Consider the following 17,975-nt stretch of genomic DNA (forward strand, 5'->3'; position numbering starts at 1 on the left):
TACCATCACGATGAACCCTAATAACAACACGTACTGGAAATTGGCTTGTCCATGTTCAGAGTACCAGAGAATCAGGCAGTGGGAGGAGATAGAAGGTGCCACTTCATTAGAGCAGGACACACCGGTGATGTCCTAATGGAAACAGGAAACTGGACTGGGAGCAGTGCATACCAATATGCCACAAGTGTGAAAAGGGAATTGGATTATATAGCAAAAAAAAAAGAAGCTGAAACACGGGCAGATGGAAATTAAACACAACGAGTTGCCAAAAAAAAAAAAATGCAGGAGAGAAGGAAGGATTCCAAGAAGATAATGTGATTACAGAAGTAATATACATATTGGAAACAGGTTTAGAACCAAACTGATGCTATAGAAAATCTATTTAGTGGTGTGGAAAACAGACTCTCCAAGTTCTAGTAGAATATAGAGGGAAAGAACTGGAAATTAAAATGACTCTAGTTGTGGAAGACAAAGACTGGAAAGTCAATATGAGAAAAATGAGTGTTCCTCAAGGAGAACTCAGAATAAATGGAAAAAAAGTAATAATCAAAGATACAGTAGAAGAAATTCTTCCTCACCTAAAGACAAACTGCATAAGCAGATCAAATGGGCCTTTAGTTTTCTGAAAAATCCATTAGAAGAGATTCACATCTACTCACATGCTTACAAACTATTTACAAGGATAAGTTTAAAATAAAATTTAATTTAAAAACCTATAAGCACCAAGGCAAATAAACCAGGTTGCCTAGCAAATATGAAAATTAGTCAGGCTTCAGACTTCTCCAGTGCTGGACTAGCTCCAAGGCGATGCTGTCTCAATGCCTATAGCATTTTGAAGAAGAAAAAAGTTATGATCCAGTAATTTTTCATGTATCTGCCATGTTGAAAAGGGATGTTCAGATACACAAGCTCTTAAGACACACAGGAGCTTCCAGAAAGCTTCTTGAATTTGTTGTCCAGAAAGGGCACAAAGTAACCGATAATGAAAAATAAAACTAGTTTTAAAAGATAAACAATTGGCAGAAAGCTGGATATAAAAGAGGACTCAATAAAAACTGGAGTGAGGATTCTTTGGGGAGTGAGAGAAATGTTCTAAAATTAGATAGTGGTGGGAGTGGCACAATTCTGAAAATTTACTAAAAATCATTGAATTGTATACTTAAGAGGAATTTATTTTATTGCAAATTATGCCTCAATAAAGCTGTTTGAAAAACCAAACTCAAATATAAAAACTGATCAGATAGAAAAGCCAAAATCAAATACACTAACATAGCGTAGCAAGTAGGAAGGATGACAGAGTGTGTTCAACACTTTATCACCAGAGGTGCCATTTCACAAGTGACTCTCACAATCTGAAAAGGCCAATCAAAGAACATTTTTGAAAAATTAAAAATAACTACCACTAGAATATATGTCTTCCAAACATTAGAAAAGATAAAAGGTAAAGAAAATATAGCCCAGGGAGGGAGGATGGGGAAAGGTCGGTCAACAGGTACAAAGTTGCACTTAGATAGGAGGAATAAGTCCTGGTGTTCTATTGCACAGTAGGGTGATTGTGGTTAACAATAATTCATTGTATATTTCAAATAGCTACACAAGAGGATGCTGAATGTTCTAACCACAATGAAAGGATCAATGTTTGAGGTGAAAGATTTGCTAATTACCCTGATTTGATCATTATACAATATATACATGCATTGAAATATGACATTATACCCCATAAATATGTACTATTATTTGTCAATTAAAAATAAAATAAAACTTAAAAGAAAATATAATCTATATACCAAAAAAGAAAACATAAAGGAAAGAGCAACATAGCATCTTTCAAGTAGAAAATGCTGATATGCCAGAAATAAGAGCAAATATAATAATTATAACAATTACATTAATCTCCTCTATTAAAAATTTTGAAACTATAAACTCGGGTCAAAAAAACAAAATACTGTACCTAAAGCAAAGTAAAATAAATATATAAGGGCAAAAACCTAATTTCTTGGTCTGATGAAAAGTGTAAACATTTTGAACTGAGAACTTCATTTAAAATGGTTATTCAACTTTATGTTTATTGCAACAGAAAGGTGACCATGACATATTTGTAAGTGGGAAAAAAATGTAGACTATCACAACAGCATGCACAGAATGATCCCACGGCAAATTGTGAATGTGTGTGTTCATGTGCACACACACCCAATAGAATATATAAAAGGGATTCACTAAAACATCAGAAGTAGATTTGGGGAGATTTTAATGCTTTGGTCTGGTTGAGTTTTTAACAATGAGAATATAATATGTTCACACACAGAGATACACACAAGATATTGTAAATTTGTAGAAAGACAGTGGTAAATACCATTTAGTGGTACTTACCCAATAATTTTATATTGGAAAGCAGTAAAATTGATAGTGAATATATAATTCTCATAAATTCCATGAAACAAGTTATAGTGTACTAAAATATGTATAAAGCTAAAACTGAAATACAAGAAGAAATTCATAAGAAAAAATTATATTAGGATAATTCTTTAATAAACAAATTGTCTTCATCAGGTCAAACAGCCAAAAAATAGAGAAAAAGCTAAATAATTGTATTAATGTAATTACTAATCTGGATAATGACTCTTCATTATATCATTACAACATAATTAAATTAATTTAATAAATACATTGACGATACATATGAAAACAGAAACATACTCTATTTTTCAGCGCCCATGAAACATGTACAAAAATTGATTTAGAATTGGACCACATAGAAAGTTGCAGTTATGCTCTTGACTACAGCCCTATCAAAAAGTCTAAAAATTTTCTAATGAAAACTGGCAAATTAAAAGTCCATCAAGAATAAAAATGAGCAAAAATAGCCTGGGCGAAGTTGTTGCTTTGGGAAGCTGAGGCGGGAGGATTGCTCGAGGCCAGGAACTCGAGACCAGCCTGAGCCACACAGCAAGACTGTCTCCACAAAAATCAAAAAATTATCAGAGTGTGGTGGTACACACCTATAGTCCTAGCTACTTGGGAGCCTGAGGCAAGAGGATCACTAGAACCAAGAAGTTTGAGGCTACCGTGAGCTATGATCATGCCACCACACTTCAGACTGGGCAACAGAGTGAGACTTTTTCTCTAAAAAAATTTAAAAATAAAGAGGAAATTCCAAAAGCAGACCCAAATATGTATGTGTGTGTAACATTAGTATTATTAAATTAATATTTTAAATCAGTGCAGAAAAAAATGGGTAAATTTAGGGAAAAAACAATTAAATCTCTACCTTATTACAAAATGAATTTTAGATGAAGTAAGGATTTAAATATAAAAATAAAACTATAAAGTACTAGAAGAAAATATTGATGCATATTTTCAAAATCTGTTCAATGTAGAAGTTTTTCTAAACATGAATTATAAATGAATAAAACTGATAGGCTTATTTAAAAATTTAACATCTGAACATAAACAAGGCTAAAATGCCTATTTGCAAACTGTGAAAATTATTTGCAACAAATATCACAAAGGCTGAATAGCCTTAATTTTTATTTTTAATTTTGATATATAAAAATTTCATATAAATTAAAGGAAGTCAGGCCAGGTATGGTGGTTCACACCTGTAATCCCAGGGCTTTGAGAGGCTGAGGCAGGAGGATCACTTGAGCCCAGGAGTTCAAGGCTGCAGTGAGCCAAGGTGGTACCACTACACTCTGGGCGACAGAGTGAGACCTTGCCTATAACAAAACAAAACTAAACTAAAGGAAATACCCCAACAGAAAAACTAGTGAAAGGCAGCAATGTGCTACTTATAAAAGAAATAAGTTGCACAGCTAGCACAGGCAGTAGAGCATGAGTCTCTTTAAAGAAATACAGATGCACACGTATGTTTGTTGCGGCACTATTCACAATAGCAAAGACTTGGAACCAACCCAAATGTCCATCAATGATAGACTGGATTAAGAACATGTGGCACATATACACCATGGAATACTATGCAGCCATAAAAAGGATGAGTTCATGTCCTTTCTAGGAATATGGATGAAGCTGGAAACCATCATTCTGAGCAAACTATCGCAAGGACAGAACGTGTTCTCCCGCATAGGTGGGAGTTGAACAATGAGAACACTTGGACACAGGGCAGGGAACATCACATACTGGGGCCTGTCATGGGGTAGGGGACGGGGAGAGATAGCATTAGGGGAAATACCTAATGTAAATGGTGAGTTAATGGGTGCAGCAAACCAACACGGCACATGTATACATATGTAACAAAACTGCACGTTGTGCACATGTACCCTAGAACTTAAAGTATAATAAAAAAAAAAAAAAGAAAGAAAGAAATATAGATGGTCGGCCGGGTGTGGTGGCTCACACCTGTAATCCCAGCACTTTGGGAGACAGAGGCAGGCAGATCTCCTGAGGCCAGGAGTTCGAGACCAGCCTGACTAACATGGAGAAACCCTGTCTCTACTAAAAATACAAAATTAGCCGGGCGTGGTGGCACCTGCCTGCAATCCCAGCTACTCGGGAGGCTGAGGCAGGAGAATCGCTTGAACCCAGGAAGTGGAGGTTGCAGTGAGCCGAGATCGTGCCATTGCACACTCCAGCCTGGGCAACAAAGGCCAAACTCCATCAAAAAAAAAATAGATAGATAGATAGATAGATAGATGGTCAATTAACACAGGAACAAAACAGTTTCAATCTCACAAGTAGTCAAATAACAGAACAGTTTTATGTCTTCTTTTTTTTTTTTTTTTGAGACGGAGTCTCTCTCTGTCGCCCAGGCTGGAATGCAATGGCACGATCTCGGCTCACTGCAAGTCCGCCTCCTGGGTTCACGCCATTCTCCTGCCTCAGCCTCCCGAGTAGCTGGGACTGCAGGCGCCCGCCACCATGCCCAGCTAATTTTTTGTACTTTTAGTAGAGACGGGGTTTCACCGTATTAGCCAGGATGGTCTCGATCTCCTAACCTCGTGATCCGCCCACCTCCGCCTCCCAAAGTGCTGACATTACAGGCATGAGCCACTGTGCCCGGCCTATATGCCATTTTTTACTTATCAAGTTATGGCTCTTTAAAGGTTAAAATCCCATGTTCATAACATCAACATGAAACCTCAAACCTCACGTGTGGAATTGCAAACTGGTAAGACATTGGAGAGTGGGAGTTGTTTAGAATGTACATTTCAAATGTGTCAAATATAGTCAATTCTTTCTACTCAACAATTCCTAAGGCAAAAAGGATTTATAAAGATGTAGAGACAATGATAGTTACTGTAATGTTATTTGTGGCAGCAAGAAAGCAGAAAGAACTTAAAGCACCCAACAATAGAGGACCAGCTAAATCAATCGTGATACCTTAAAAACTGTGATGAAGAAGAATATTCATATGAAAAGACATTAATTATACATTGTTAGATGGGAAAAATAAACTACAATACAGTAATGGTCCCATATTTGAAAAAATAGTAATAAATGTACATTCATTAAGCAAAAACAACTTTTTTTTTGTTCAGGGAAGATATTCACCAAAATGTTAATAGTGGTTCTGTCTACATGTTGGTATGACAGGTAGGATTTTTGTGTTCTCTTTGCCAATCCCTATTTTATAAATTTTTCCACAATCATATGTTTAACTTGCATAATAATTGTTAAAATAGTAACAATGGTAGTAATAGCATGCTGAAATTAAGCTTTTTCTCTTTTTGAAGAGCATTGGCATGCCAGTTCTTTTTCTCCTTAGCATGAAAGAAAGCACCATGGATCCACATTAAAAGAAAGATGTGGCTTGCCATCACCCTGAGGGACACTTTCAGTGGGATGATTACAGCTGCTATGACAACAAGAGGAGGATGTGATGTCACATAATGATCCAGTGACTTCAACGGTCCCGTCCCAATGCAGAGCTTTGCTGCCAGCTGGAAATCCAGCAGAGACCTCATTAAGGGCATCTGTTCAGTAATTACTACAAGTTTCCCTTCATCACGCATCCAAATTTGAAAACAGCCATACCGCAGAACTCCAATGCCTGATTCACAGAGGGCTTTAATCTTCCATTTCTGTAGCGCTCAGACTGACTGCGACCAGAGGACCAGGGTCAAGTTTTGGTGCAGTCAGTAAATACTACCTTGATCAACAGGGACCAGGGCGGGAAGAAGCATCCCGAGGACATTTATTAACACCAACAAAGACTAGAGCCTCAAGGTGTTTAACTAAGGTATCTTATTTTGCATCCTCCTAGAACATTTAAATATTGTAATTTCCATTAGAGAAAATCTAATACACCCGTAACCCATAGAAAAGAAGGGCAAATAGGACTGACTGCACAGCAAGCCAGAGAATCAATTGCAAAATATGCATAATGAATTCTCCTACAATGAATATGAAATCCCAAGACCCTATTCACATGGCACTAGCACTGGTGCTCTGCATAGAATAGGGGCAAACTGCTATGGTGGAAGGAGCCAGACAGAACTGGTGTCAAGTCCCAGCTCTACTACTTAACCTCCTAAGCCTCTGTTTCCTCACCTATAAACTGAGAATAATAATGAGTCAAAAGAGTTGGAAAATTAAGCATAAAACTCTTAGCCTAGTACCTAGTATTCCAAATAAAGTTAGTTCCCCTTGAAAAGTTTCACAGAAAACTACACAGAAATGTCAATGAATTAATTGCTTCTTTATTAAGTCTTGACCAATGCAAGAGTCTCCTAACTGCCCTCTCTCTTGCCACACCTACTGCTATTATCATCCTCACATATCACACTACTCTTATACATGGTGTTTTCTCTGTCTAGAATGTTCCCAGAATTTCTCCCCTGTCCATCCCATCCCCAACCTCATCCATCTCTGTGATTCCTAAACAAGGCACACAGCAGAATCACTTAGAGACCTTTCTAAAAATGCACATGCCAGGCTGGGCACAGTGGCTCACGCCTGTAATCCCAGCACTTTGGGAGGCTGAAGCGGGCAGATCACCTGAGGTCAAGAGTTCAAGACCAACTGGCCAACATGGTGAAACCCGTCTCTACAAAAATACAAAAATTAGCCAGGCATGATGGTGGGTGCCTGTAATCCCAGCTACTTGGGAGGCTGAGGTGGGAGAATCACTTGAACCTGGGAGGCAGAAGTTGCAGTGAGCAGAGATCGTGCCACTGCACTCCAGCCTGGGCGACAGAGCGAGACTCTGTCTCAAAAAAAAAAAAAAGAAAAAAGAAAAAAAGAAAAAAATGCACTTGCCAGGTCCAACCCACAATTATGGAATTGGAATCTTCGGAGCATGGAGCCCAGAAATCCTTAACAAACTCTCCATTTGGTTTTTATGCAGCCAGCCCTGTTGCTGCAGCGTTTGAGAACCACTGACGTGGCTGATTCCTCTTCTTTAAAACTCCATTCGAAAACTTTCATACATCACTGGTGGAATCATAAAATGGCGCAGACACTTTGGAAAAGTTTGGCAGTTCCCTAAATGTTATACAATAATTTACCATACAACCCAACAATCCCACTCCTAGGAACCTACCCAAGAGACTTAAAACATATGTCCACACAAAGACATGTATGTAAATATTTATAGCAGCATTATTCATAATAACCAAAAACTGGAAACAACCTGTGTCCAACAATTAGTTAATGGATAAACAAATGTATATGTTCACATAATGGAATATTATTCAAAATAAAATAGAATGAAGTACTTATACATGGTGATGATTGCATAACTGTAAACTCACTAAAACTTGTTGAATTGTACTCTTAAAATGGGTAAATTTTATGATATGTAGATTACACCTCAATAAAGCTGAAGAAAGGGAAAAGAAAGGGAGAAAAGGAACAGGAAGGAAGGGAGAAGAAGAAGAAAGAAGGAGAGAGGGGAGGAGAGGGGAAGGGAAGGGAGTGGTACTGGGGAGAAGAGAAGAGAGGGGGGAGAGAGGAAGGGAGTGGAGGGGAGGGGAGGGGAAGAGAGGAGAGGAGAGGAGAGAGAATAAGGGGAGGGGAAGGGAGGGAAAGATAAAACAAGAGTGGAAAAAACTAAGTCCAAGCGTTTGCCAACCCCTCCCCCTGCATTATCTTCATCCTTTATAAATCTCTCAAACAGCACTTGGCCTCAGCATGTTACTTCTCAGTGTCAGTCTCCCCACAAGCCCACATGCTTTTCAAGGATGAGAAAATTATTTAATATCTTCCTATACTTGCAGGGAGGTCAGTAGGCACTAACTAATGTTTGTAAGAAAATGTAGGAAGGAATGAGCGGTTGTTTGAGCTTTCTGTTGAAACACACTGTAAGAAACATTCTAGCTCTAAGAACTTAATACTCAGTTTCCCGCTTATAAAGTCATAAACTCTCTCATTGGGATGTTAAGAGGAGATGATAGATGTCCCAAAAGTGCTTTGGATTTTTACTGAAGATATGTCCCACAGGTGTAAGAAGGGCACTCCCTCTGACATGTCCCATGCATAATCAAGCTCTCAGATAACCAATGTAGTGTCAGATTCAAATCCAGATCTCTCCACTTCCCTGGATTAGTGCGTTAGTTTCCTCATCCGAAAATGAGAAATTAAATGAGCTAGTGCTTACAAAGCCCTTAGAAGAGCATTTGGCATACAGCAAACACTCAACTACAAAGAAAATAGTAGTATACATGGTGTGTGGAAGGGGTGTGTGTTTGTATATAAAATATGTGTGCATATAATTGGTGAGACACCTCTGCCAAAATAGGCCATGCTGTAAAATACTCAGAAAAGTTTCACCTGCCTCATGGGGCATTCAGGATTAGGGAAGCTGATACAAACACAAAAGAGAGCCTAGGCACTAAGTTAGAGAGACCAAGAGAGCTGACTAATTTAAAATATCCATATATACAATTAAGTTTTAAAAGCAGGTACTAGAACAACATGTATGATCCCATTTAAATAGAACTGCAATAGAATAGTATGTGGACCAAGGATAGGATATTAACAGAGGTCATCTCTGGATAATGAGGTTTTCTTTCCTGAGTGCCTAAAATGAATATGGATCGTTTTTATAGGCAAATAAAATTAATAATGCTATCTTCATTTTGTTAAAAAATGAATTAAGTAATTAGGAAAATTAAGACAGCCTCCAGCCCCCAAGGACCACCTACTGCTCTGGCAGCCTAAAAGTTTGCCTGGTTTGTTTGAAAGAGAGAACTAATACCCAGAAGGCTACAGGAAGGCCCAGATAGAGAGGAAGAATGCAGGCCACACAGAAATGGCTAGTTATTATTAACACATAATAGCAAGAACATTCAGCAAATACTCAACAACTGATTCTCCACAGCATAGCCAGAGTGTGTGTTTATAAACAGAAATCTGATCTTGTCCCCTCTCCCTAAAATGACCAAACTGCCTTCCACTGCTCTTGGAGAAAAAAACCAAAATCCTCCAGTGGGCCTGTAAGACCTCATATAATCACCTCTCCAGCCTCTTCTTAATGCTCTCACAGCCCTCAATAGCCCATCTCCTCCCTCCAGCCACAGGGCCTCTGCACAGGCTGCCTGATCCACCTGGAGGCTCTCCCATCGCCTCCCCAACACCCTTCACCAGGGAAGCCCATCCCAATCCCCAGACAAATTAGATACCCCTGCTGGGCATGACCACAGCACCCTGGCCTTGCCATCAGAGGACTAAGCACAGTTATACCAATGTCTGTGGGCCCCACTAGGCTGTCATCACCATGTCATCAGGGCTGGCTTGTTTGCTCACATAGTATTCCTAGTGCCTAACACAATCGCTGCCATAAAGAATGCACTCCATAAAGACAGGCTAAGTGAGTGGTTACGACCCATGCGCAGGCAGGGCACTGCAAAGTACGGGTCCAGAGAAAAGCAAAGGCCAGGTCATGGAAGGCCCATGGGTCCTACCTGGGAATGTGGGCTTGATCCTGCATGCAATGGGAATCTCCCTCCTGGGTTTTAAATGGAAGGGCAGCAGGATCAAAAAGCCTACAGACTTTAAATACTAATTAGATGACGTGAGGGTAGGAATCTGCACAGGAAAAGGAATCTACAATGGTTCCCAGGTTTCTAGTTCAGATGCCCAAGCTTTCAAAAATGTAGAAACTGGCTGGGCGCAGTGCCTCACACCTGTAATCCCAACACTTTAGGAGGCCTAGGCAGGCAGATCACTTGAGGTCAGGGGTTCGAGACCAGCCTGGCTAACATGGTGAAACCCCATCTCCCAGCTACTTGGGAGGCTGAGGCAGGAGAATCACTTGAACCCGGAAGGCAGAGGTTGAAGTGAGCTGAGATTATGCCACTGCACTCCAGCGTGGGCAACAGAGTGAGACTCCGTCTTAAAAAAACAAAATGTAGAAACTAGATTGGAGTCATGGTTCTGAAACGAGTCACTCCGACTTCTTGGAGTAGCAGTTTCTCCACCTGTAAAATGGAGCTGCTCATAGATCTTTTTCAGGGGAATTGGTAGCATCAAATGAGCTGATGTTTGGGAAAGTGCTTTACCAATAGTAAAGCCTCTCATTATCATCAGCAACATGGGGGCAATAGTTTGCATAATTACCCCAAAAAATAGCCTCCTTGAAATAGTCACTAAGACCAGGCTTACAGTCTTACACAACTGGACTAAATTCTGCACCTTTTAAACACTTTTCACTGTCTTAAACGGTTGGCCTCATGAATGACCCAGATGAGAAAGAAAGAAAATGCATCCTGTTGGAAAACTGGGTTTCTGTGGGGCCCAGCAGATGGTTGGGATCTAGTCTGGCTCAAGTGCTGCTGGTTCCCTCTTTAAGAGATGACTGATTCCTCTCCAATATTAACTGACTCGATACAATTTGAAAAGCTAAAGTAGTTTCCAACTGTTTAAGGTGAGTCACTAGATACAGTGGACCTTTCTGAGAAACTGTAAACTAATTACTTTAAAAAAGAATTCCATTCACTTTCCCACTCACTGCTTAAATCCTATGGCGTTAATGTGTGTTCCCTGGGCCCAAAGTCAGAGAAAAACAATGCCAGCTTTCTCTTGGGGCCTCTCAGAGAGATGAAACTTCCAAAGGGCTGGAGGGTTCCCCTATTTGTGATGACTAGGCAAACATCTAAGCCAGCAGAAATACCTTCAGGTTTGGCATGAACTAGGAAGAAGAAAAGGGAAGGGGAAGGAGTCAGTATTTTTCAATATTTTTATAAGCACCTGCAATTGTCATTACTGGGCTAGAACTTTACATATGTCACATCATATGTAGATATTATTATTCCTACTTTACAAAATTAACAAACAAGATTCAGAAAGGTAAAAAAAGAGGTCAGAGGCCAGGCACAGTGGCTCATGCCTGTAATCCCAACACTTTGGGAGGGCAAAGCAGAAGGATCGCTTGAGCCCACGAGTTGAAGACCAGCCTGAGCAACATAGTGAGAGCCCATCTCTAGAAATAATAAAAATAAGTTAGCTGGGCATGGTGGTGCACACCTGTAGTCCCAGCTACTCAGAGGCAGGCTGAGGCAGGGGGATCGCTTGAGCCCAGGAGGCCAAGGCTGTGGTGAACCGTGATCGTACCATTGCACTCCAGCCTAAGTGACAAAGCAAGACTCTGTCTCTAAAAGCTAACTAAATAAATAAGTGGTCAGCTATTTCATAAATGGTGAACATAACAACTTATCAATTCACATTTTGTTTTGTCCAAAGATAAAGAAGGAATATTCTCTCCACCATATACACTACAAAAATTTTATTGAGATAATCTCTAAAAGCCAATATTTCTGAGAAATGAAATATGTAATTCAGCAGTTCCAACACAGCAAAACCAAAAAAAAAATTAAGCCAGGAAAGAGCCCTGTAGTTGAACTGCAATGAAACCCTTACTTATTACTTTGACCTTGAGCAAGTCACTTCTCCATCTGTCTAATTTCAGCTTGTGAATGCTGAATTAGACTATCTATAATGCTGGTGGTTACTAGTCCATGCAAGTCCAGAAGGGGTTTCTTCTCCTTTTCTCCTCCCCAAGCCCGTGGAATCGCACCTGAGCCACTCTATGAAGTTACCACAAAGAGAAGCAGCACAGCCATTTGGGGAAGCAGAGAGAAAGTCAGCAAATCAATTCCTGCAATGTGGTTTCTTCTCAAACTCTGGCAGCAGTACCTGTGACCTAATACTCCAGGGCAGAGTCTTGGGTGCTTTGGACCCTTGTCCAGAAGACACTGCCTTCCACCAAGTGAAAATCAACTTCTAGCAACTCTGCCTCCAAGCCTGCCCAGGGTCCCCTGGGGAAGGCCTGGTTCTCAGGCCAAGGTCCCAACACACTCCAGTGCCTGTCTGCCAGCAGCACAGGAAGTGCCAACCAGCTCTCCCCAAAGCAGCTGGCACCAATTACCCCAACCCAGCTGGAAGCACCCGGCTTGGCTGAGACAGGCACTCCAGATCCCTGGCCTGGTCAGAAATCCTACCCTAAAACAAAGACAGACTTGCAGCCGTGCCAGAATGCTACATAAGTGGCTGGTGGAGGGTTGGCAGAGGCAGCCAGGAGCAGGCGGGTGAGCACAGTCCAGGGAAGCAGCTGTGGGTCTGGAAGTCTTGCCCACACCCTGATTTCAGAATCCCTCCATCATCACAACCAACAGCTACCAATTAACAGGCACCTAGAGCACACTGGGTTCTTACATTCCTCAACCTCTTGAACCCTCCCAACAACGCAACAAAGAAGGAATCGCTATCCCCATTTACTAATGAGGGCCTCAGGGGTCACAGAGGTGAATGATCATTCCCCCAGCCACAGAGATAGGAAGTGCCAGAACTGGGTCTAGAGCCCAGGTCTTCTGTATCACTTGCCTTTCCACCTGGCATCCTGGCCTAGGAGAGCTAACATTCTAACAAGGGCCTGGCAGCTAGGGACTCGCTTTGCAAAACCATCACAAGTGACACAGTAAATCCTGAAAGATGTTAACCTGCTGAGGAAATGGGAACACATGGATCCATGAAGAACAACCATAAAGTATCAAGAGATCATTACCCAAAGACACAAAAGTGAAGCACATGAAAAATGCCAATTTTGAACAACAGAAAGCAGAAGACAAAGTCATCCTTACAGTTTTTCAAACAACAGTATATATGGTGATTTGATCAAGCAGGACTCAGAGTTGGTTATTATTATTTTCAAGTTAATAATATTATGAAAATATCTTATAATGGATATAAACTATAAATATATAATAATAAAAACATTTACGTAGAACTTACTTTGTACCAGGTGCTATTCTGAGTGCTTGATGTGTATTAACTCCTCTAACACCCTAGGAGGTAGGTAATATAATTGTCTACATTTAACAGATGAGCACATTGAAATACAGAAAAGTTAAGTAACTTGTCCAAAATTACACAGCTAATAAACTGTGAAGCCAAAATTCAACCAAGGCAGTCAAACTCCAGAATCCAACTCTTAACCTCTGCACAGACTGTCTCTCAAATCCAACAAGCATTTATCAAGCAGGATCCAGGTTAGATGCTTCTGTATCTATTATTAATTTGTTATTCATTCTTACATTTATTCTTTCTAACAAATATAGCAGCATGAATTGAAGCCAAAAAGGTTTCATATCACATCAGAATGGAGCTAGCCCTGCAGGCACTCAGAAACACTTGGAAATCTCCAGCTAGTCCCCATTTCCCACTGGAATCTGATAGTTAGCATATAGGTGAAATAGCTGGAATGCCCAAGCAGCTACACATGGACTTGCCTTTGGTCCTTTCTTGAGTTTAGCTCAGTGGTTATTAAACGTCACTATAAGTAAGAAAACTGTACAATGCTGTATACACAAAGCCTAGTATGCTTACTTCATGAATAATTTCACCTCTGAGTTCTTAACTAGTCCTGCACGCAGTTTGCCTCCTCTTTGGTCTGAACTCTACAAAGCATCCATCACAAATCCCCAGTGTACCTCACTTAGCCATTCCCCAGCATCTCACCTACTCTGAGAAGGCCAGGGTCAAGACTTGAAGCTCACCTCTTCCGGGAGGGGCAGGAATCGCAGAGATTTCCTTACTTAACCAGTTTGTTTACAGATGGAGAAATTGTGGCCCAGGTTAAGTGACTTACCCGGGATCAAAGAGCAAGTTAGTAAGGTGCTAACCCCATCTCTGAGTCCAGTATGTGTTTTCTAATAGTCTGTGCTTTTCTCCTCTGTGGTTCCCCCGCCCTTCTACAATGTCTACTTCAGTGTTATGTTCAGCAAATATTTATTAACCTACCAATAATAATAGTTCACAATTTTGAATGTCTTGACTGTGCCAGGCCCTGTGCTAGAAGCTACAGTTTCATTATGACTTTCATGGGCCCTAGAAACTTTTGCTTTTGTGGTTCCCTTCCTCCATAAAAAAATAATTTTTAAAAATTTAAAATATATTTTAGGACTACATTGAAATGAAGAATATAATAATGTTAAGTTTTCTTAACTTTTTTATTATTTGTTGAGGTAAGAACACTTAACATGAGATCTACCCTCTAAGCAAATTTTTAGGTGTACGACATTGTACTGCAGATCTTTAGAGCTTGACTAAAACTCTATGAAGTAAAATATTTTATTCAATCTAAAAGTTTATTTTTTCTTTCAATTATAAAAGAAATTAAAATATTTTCAGAATCCTAAAAATATTGCAGTCTGATCACTATGCTTACTGTACCCAGTGGATAAATCAGCCCTAGTAAGTGTTCTAGTTGCACTATCCCATTTGATCTGCTACTCTAGCATGGTAGACACTATTTATTATGTCCATTTTACAGCTTAGGAGTCTTAACATTAGCCATGAAATGCCACCTCTCTAAGATCACAGCAAAAGGAAGATGGGGTTCTAGATTTGAACCACAAGTGTCTGACTCCAGAGACTGTTATATTCTGGACTCTACTCAGTGCAATTTACCCATCCTGGTCCCCTCCTCCTGCTGTGTTCCAAGCCAATCCCGAAGCCCAGCTCAGGACCGTCATTCCTTCATTACTATTCTCTCCACCACTCCCAACTTCCCCATGGCCCCAGGTGGACCCTGTCCAGGTCTGTGGAGGCTGAGTGGACACGCCAGGCACACTGTGTGGCTCCGGAAAGTGCATCAGCCTATAGGAGGGCAGCAGTGTGCCCAGTACCCACTTGACTCTTACTCTCATCTGGTGTCAGGGGCCAGCACAGTTGTACAGGGCATCCTGGCTGCCCACCCACAGAGTGCAGCCACAAACCCTGGGGATCACACCACTGATGCTCACCCACTCCCAGCCAGCACCAGCTCTACTCACAGTATGATTTCAGGCAAAGGGAAGGGACATTGAACAGACACCCACAGGGTGACAGCCAGGCACTGTGCATGGCCCTTCATTCCCCTGGCCATGTTCACCCACAAGGAAGGTGTTACCACCTCCATTTATTCAGAGAAGAAAATTGAGGCTGAGGGAAGCTAAATGGCTCACCTAATGGGCATGATAAATCTGCGTGTGACTCCAAAGCCCAGGGTTTCCCACAGCAAATACAACCTCTCAGCTGGCCCCCTAAAAGCGGGCACTCTAATTGTTTGCTGACAATGGCAACTCCATTGTGAGAGCTCCTCAGGCAAAAGACAGGGCTGCTCTCGGTCGAAGTGCAAATGCTGTGAAGTGGCATACACCGGTTTTAACCAGCATTAACTTTCCCTAATAACAGCATTTGGAGGGCATTTTAGAGTTAACAGCGCAGTTGTTTCATGCATACCTTCACTCGATCCTCACCATACTGCCATAACCTAAGGATCTTACTCCCCATTTTACATGTGAGGAAACAGAGGCTCAGAGATAATGTGATTTGCCCATGGTGCAGAATGGAAGAGGATGAACAGCAGAGCAGAGACTGCAAGCCTCCGTTTGCAGACTCCTCTTCCCACACCCTGCCGCACCTGACTGACTCTGAGATACGACTGAGGGAGAGAAGTAGGTCCATGAGCACTGGGAGGAGGCCATAGAATATTTTACCTGGAATCCTTACTGGGTTCTTTGCTCCCTGCCATCACTCCCAACCAGGTGTAAAAGCTCCAAAGTTCTTGTTTCCACCCAGACTGCCTGCTTGTCTAAGCAGGCAGATGGAAGGCAGACAAAACACTCAGCTGAGAGAGCACAGAGACCAGTCTGGGCTCAGAAAGTCGTCAACCATATGCCCCAGGGGAGGCCGGGGGCCTCTCTGCCAGGGCTGGAGAGTGGGCCACACCCCCAGTGTATGCAGCCAATTCAATCAGACCTCAGCCACCCACCGAGCCCTGCCTGCCCAGATCCCCTCTGAGAGGAGCATCCAGGAGCAAACCTCCTCCCTTCAGCTTAGCCTCCGTCCCCTGCTGTCCAAGGGTAGGTCAGGGAACCCCCACTCCCAGCCCCTCAAGCCTCCGATTGCTGTCTAGGGGCTTCTTGTTTTTCCTCCTCTGGTACAACCCAAGGAGGGAAACACAAGGCAGAAAAGCCAGTGGCTGTTGCTACAGGAAACACATCTCTGTTAGCAACACCTCTTCAGTACAGGCCTAGAATTTTCCACAACACCAATAGGTTCATTTTTGAAGGAAGCAGCTTCTTTGACATTCACTCCGCTAACTTCACATCCCTCTGAGTCTCTGGTTTCACCCACCTCCTTCTGACACCATGCAGGTCATCACTGAGGGCAGGAGGGAAATGATGGGCCCTCCCTCAGCCCCATTTTCTCATCTGTAAAATGAACAGGGAGGAGCATCAAAAGAGATCAAGTGGGGCCCACTCAGGTGATTTAAAAGAAAAAATGTGCTTTTGTTTTTGGCAGACATACATCACTTTGAGGGGGAGGTGTTTGTTTGTATTTCAGGCAGCCTTCTGGAGAGAGCAAGAATCTGTGAATGACTTAATACAAACCCAAATAGACATCCAAACTCCAGAAGGAAAGTTCTTCTGAAATACAAGGTACTGCACCTACGCATCCCAATCATTCACTTCATATGCAAATGCTCCTTCACAAGTACTACCTCACCAGAGTCAATTTACACTTGCACTTCCACATATGGCCTTCAATTATGTCATCAGGATAATTACTTGCCGCAATCATAATAAGTTCAATGGTTTCCCAGGGATGGAACTCTCAAAGCATCAAGGCGCTTTCAAAGTCAGCACTTCTGAATGTGACATGTGTTCAATCTTAGTCTTGTTTCCAAGACCTTTTGACCACATACCCATTTCATGACCTGAGAAAATTACATAAAGAGGATGCAAAATAATTTGCCCTGGGACAGGGAAGCATGGGACTGAGGGAGCCCAGTGAGGCAGATTAACTAACCTTGTTTCTTCTACCTGATCTTCCTCCAGGGAGCAGCAACCCCACCCTGTCCCACATGCAGCAATGGTCTCATCTCTTTCTGGTTTTGCTCCAGCCTTGGCTGGTTAAGCAGAGTTAACAAACTCCCAGATCCCTCTGCTGCAGAATGATGGGCTAGTACCGAGGCTCCAGCAGAAGTAAAGTCCACTGTGGGAGGCAGCATGATGTGTGGGACAAACCCGGGCTGACGGGTCAGGGCAGATGTGGTTTGAATCCAACTCTGCCACCTAGCTGTGTGCCTTCTGGCAAATTATTTCCTCTGGAGTCTTGGGAGTTTCTTCTCCTAAAACAGGGGTCATAACAGCTACTTTTCAGAGCTGTCGAAACATTGCTGGTGGGAGTAGAAGCTGGTAAATCTTTTCAGAAGGCAGTTGAGCAATACGTTTTAAAGTTCCTAAAAATGTTCATACTCTTAGACTAAGCAATTAAGCTACTAGAAGTTTCTCTTTAAGAAGTACTCATGGGTCAGGCGCAGTGGCTCACGCCTGTAATCCCAACACTTTGGGAGACCGAGGTGGGTGGATCATGAGGTCAGGAGATTGAGACCATCCTGGCTAACACACTGAAACCCCACCTCTACTAAAAATACAAAAAAAAATTAGCAGGGCGTGTTGGCGGGCGCCTGTAGTCCCAGCTACTCCGGAGGCTGAGGCAGGAGAATGGTGTGAACGCGGGAGGCGGAGCTTGCA

At 41.8% G+C, this 17,975-nt stretch overlaps 1 protein-coding gene across 8 annotated transcripts in view; it reads right to left on the minus strand.

Moving 5' to 3' along the window:
• The window catches only part of PDE1C (phosphodiesterase 1C), an 811,448-nt gene that overhangs the window by 661,084 nt on the left and 132,389 nt on the right, over positions 1 to 17,975 (minus strand). For 5 of the 8 annotated variants that reach the window (XR_001744802.1, XR_001744803.1, XR_007060041.1 and 2 more), the window contains exon 1: positions 15,399 to 15,603. The exons of the other annotated variants lie outside the window; for them this stretch is intronic. Coding sequence is in view for 2 of the 5 variants with exons in the window: in XM_017012264.1 (XP_016867753.1) it covers positions 15,399 to 15,588 (190 nt within the window). In the remaining 3 variants the exon portion in view is untranslated. Of the gene's footprint in view, positions 1 to 15,398; positions 15,604 to 17,975 lie in introns of those variants that run through there. 8 annotated transcript variants of the gene reach the window in all.

This window comes from Homo sapiens, chromosome 7 (assembly GCF_000001405.40).
Source record: "Homo sapiens chromosome 7, GRCh38.p14 Primary Assembly".
Lineage (NCBI taxonomy): Eukaryota > Metazoa > Chordata > Mammalia > Primates > Hominidae > Homo > Homo sapiens.